At 30.3% G+C, this 4,270-nt stretch overlaps 1 long non-coding RNA gene across 1 annotated transcript; it reads left to right on the top strand.

The window, feature by feature from the left end:
* The first annotated feature begins 278 nt into the window (after positions 1-278).
* On the top strand, positions 279-2,567 carry LOC105377411 (uncharacterized). The gene is made up of 3 exons (XR_939183.3): positions 279-349; positions 1,470-1,554; positions 2,228-2,567. It is a non-coding gene; the product is annotated as an uncharacterized LOC105377411 (long non-coding RNA).
* Positions 2,568-4,270: the final 1,703 nt, after the last annotated feature.

Genomic DNA, 4,270 nt, shown 5'->3' with positions numbered 1-4,270 from the left:
ATATATTTTACAGCATACATTCTGAACACAAAAATAATATGTATTTTAAGTCCTAACTATATAATACTGTGCAATCCAAGAACAATTTGCAATCTTGTTTCTGATTTTAACTGTTTGATTATAGCATATTGTTTAGGCATAGCATCAGAATTGACCCTCTAGATTGAAAATCAGCATGGGAATTTAATTTTTTTGAATTCTTTGTATTTGATGAGTACATGGAGCCCACATTACAATATTGTGTAGACTCATGACTTCTATCAACATTTTTATGTTCGCAGAGCTTACAAAAAGCTTGATTGAAAAGAGAAGAGAATGGAACACGGTATGATGACAACAAAGAGAAAAGGTAGAGTTGAAAACGAAGATACTAACACCTTGATCTCAACCTTAGCAGTTAAATATTCTTTTCATTTTTGTTCCCTTCAAATTCAAAGGACTTTTCTACCTCAAAATGACAATAACAGTTCCTTTTAAAAATATTATCTTTAAGTTTCTACTTTAGTGTCACAGATAAACCTAACCACATGTATCAGTGTGGAAACTGATTTGATGAAATGAGACCGACCTGAGAAAAATTTGAGATGTTCAATTCATATTTTTAATATTTTTAAAACATATATCCAAACTTGTTAAAAGGCAAGTCATTTCAAATAAATAAATAATGTTCAATCCCATTTCGAGCTATTATACATAGCAGTTTCCACTGTTTAAACATTCTACTGCCTAAAATTCCCCCCCTCTCTTTTTAATCTAAGGATAACTGTTCCTTCAAGGCTCACTTCAAAATTGAATGAGGCCTTCCCTTCCTGTGCAACTGAACCACTAATACATTTGTTCTAGGAATATCTCTATCACATCTTAAAAAACAATCATTGACATGAGAAATAGTTCTCTTGGTGATTTTTCTTCTTTTTTTAATACATATTGTGCTTTTCAAATTAGACCATAAGCTCACTTTACATTAAAACATTTGTTTGTGTTTTAGTATCCTAGCCTATGTAATAGTATCAATGAATTTTTACTTATGGCAATAACTTAATTTAAAATGAAAATTGATCATATTCAGAAATATTTTCGAAGATTGCAAATCTAATAATTAACATCAAGCAAGAGTCATAACAATATTTAGATATAAAAATCTTTCCTGGGGGCTCCCAATTGTCTTAATTTTTTTTTTCCTCAGGAGAATACGTGGGTCCCAAATAGCACTGTATAGGCTCATCATGTATACTAACATTATTAATGTTCACATTTATGTCAAAAATATCTATGATTAAAACATACTAACTTTATGAAAAGTTTACCTTGGATAAGGAAATTTAGTATTTGAAACCATTTATACTCTTCTGTATACTTAATTGTAAAAGGTATATCCAGTTAATGGAGAGCACAGTAATTTTCTTCTAAAGAATAAAATTAACCATTTTAGTATTTTAATTGATTTTCTAAATCCCTTGCCCTCTTAGGAGCCAAGATTAGTCTGGACAGTATGCAGACATTGACTCTGCTTTGAGGACAGAGCTGGAATTAATTTCACGTGCACCACATAAGGTACTTAGAGTCGGAAAGAAGGAAAAATAAAATATATTTTATGAATTGAAATTTTAAAATTTCAAATAAGTTCACATTCAAATTAAGCGACCAGAGGAAATGATATTCGTAGGATTACAGGCCCTAAAATGTATACCCAGAAGAAAATTGGATCAGAATGGAGGCAGTTTGAGTTTAAAAATGTAGGAAGATTCCACAATGATTAGAATGAGTACTGTGAGTATTTGATTTTGTTCTAATTAAGAAGATACTGATAAGGAAGAATAGCTCTCAAACAAGTTAATTGAATAAATATGATATCTTTTTCCATAATAAATTCAGAGATGTCAAATAAAATTTAATATTGATATAGATCCAAATTCATGTATTATGTGCCCATCTAGAGCACTTTGCATTCCAGTCTCTGAATTCATTGTCATCTTTTCGTAGCATATTTTCAGAATTGTCATTCGTGATCATTATTCAAGGTAGTCATTGCATAATATTTTAATTTCTATGACAACTTTATAAAGACTGGTGGATTGTAATGAGAATATGAAAAGTAACATGCACTGGTGAGAAAGTGAAGTACAAATGCCTGTGTTTACATTGTTATGATATAGAAATTACAGTAAAATTGTATAGGCATTTATGTAAAAAAGAATTTAACACTGAATACTTACATTAAAACCAGGTAAAGAAAACAGCTTCAGACCATGATTATCTACGATATGGGGTCTGGGTTTGCAGATTAATTTTAACATAAGAAAATGAAGTGACAGCTGAGGATCTTTCATGACACACTGCTGAGCTGCTGAATGAAGTATGCATGGTCAGTATAAAGGATGGGGTGGACCAGAAAAGCTCCTTTGTCAGTTTCTTTGTTATAGAATTAAGAAAAATGTATGTGTGTGTATATATGAGTGTGTATACACATGTGTTTTATGTAAAATATATATTTTAAAAGATGGAAAATTTATTAATTAACATCAAGCAAGAGCCATAACAATATTTAGATAAAAATCTTTCCTGTGGGTCTTCTCATTGTCTTGAATCTTTTCAAAACAAGTGTGTGTGTGTGTGTGTGTGTGTGTGTAATATACATCACATATATACAACATATATACAATATAATACAATTATATAATGTAATATGTATAATTATACATTATAATTATATTTATATTTATATGTGTGTATATAATATGTGTATAGAATTATATGATAATATAATTATATTACATGATTATATTATATGGTTATATAATTATATACACACATATTATACACACTCACATATATGATTAACAACCTATTTCAAGGGTTGGATTATGACATGAGGACTCAGAGTAGACAGCAATACTAAGATACAACAACTTGCCATGTTTTGTTTACTTCTATATTCCTAGTGACTAGAATACTGCCTGATACATAATAGAGAATTAATAAATACTTTTGAATATTTAAATTTTGAATGCAGACTACCAACTGAATGATGATTAAAGTTACTTACTTTATGCTTTTAATTAACTCAATATATTCACTACTACTGCTAGTATTTGCTTTTAATTAACTCAATATATTCACTACTACTGCTAGTATTTGAAAAACAGGAAAAAAACTTTACAAAAAGCACTGTAATTTATTTATAATTAATTATTTATCTGTTAAATGTTTAAGTGCTATGAAATATATTAAACTGCATTTCTTAATCTTTAGGAGCTTAAAAAAAGGTAGAGGGGAGTAAAAATGTAAGATCTCCTAGTTGGATACTAATCCACACTGAGGTTTTTCTGGAAGTGAGGTTAAATGGATAAAGATGAATAAAGGTGAATCCTAATCATCTCTGAGTTTTGACTCAATTCAGAGGGAAAATATAAGATTTTTTGTCCTTGAAGATAATAATGCTATGACAATAAGGACTATCAGATTTAGGCCAACAGTATACTTCCTCTAGATTAAAAAATTAAAAGCCCGAAGTTCATTCTGCAGTTCAGAGATATTTCAGTGAGGTCAAACCAGGTGCTTAGGAGTAGAAAACATAATAAATACATGAAAAATATATGATAAAAAGAATGATTGATAAGCCTGCTGATGACAAGCAAAATATAAGGATGGGGCACATAGGAGTCAAAGAGTGACTGTCTTTTTCAAGTTTTTTCTCTATGACAATGATAGAAGAAAGTAATGAGCAACAGAATCTAGTCTAGAGAAAAAGATGAAGTTGAATTTAGTTTTACATATGCTAAGTTGACATTAATAGTTGAGCATTCAAGTGTACGTGTCCTAAATCAGGAGGGGGTAAATATTTGGGACCGAGCATCTTGAAAAGTAGTTATGCAATAGATGCCTCTTCTACAAGAAAACAATCAGCAAAATGAAGAGACAACCCACAGAATGGGAGAGAATACGTGGAAACTACCCATACGACAAGGAATTGATACTAGAATATACAAGGAGCATTAACAACACAATAGCAAAAAGCCAAATAATCCATTTAAAACATGGTCAAATGATCTGAATAGACATTTCTCAAAAGAAGACATACAAATGGCAAACACGTATATGAAAAAATGCTCAACATCACTAATCATCAGAGAAATGCAAATCAAAAGCACAATTGGATATCATCTCACCCTAGTTGGAATGCCTTTTATCATAAAGGAAACCTTAGATGCCAGTGAGGATGTGGAGAAAGGAGAATCCTTGTACACTGTTGTGGAAACGTAAATAAGTA

Source organism: Homo sapiens, chromosome 4, assembly GCF_000001405.40.
Source record: "Homo sapiens chromosome 4, GRCh38.p14 Primary Assembly".
NCBI lineage: Eukaryota > Metazoa > Chordata > Mammalia > Primates > Hominidae > Homo > Homo sapiens.
Note: the sequence above shows the minus strand (reverse complement) of the source record. Positions and strands in the feature narration are given on the sequence as shown.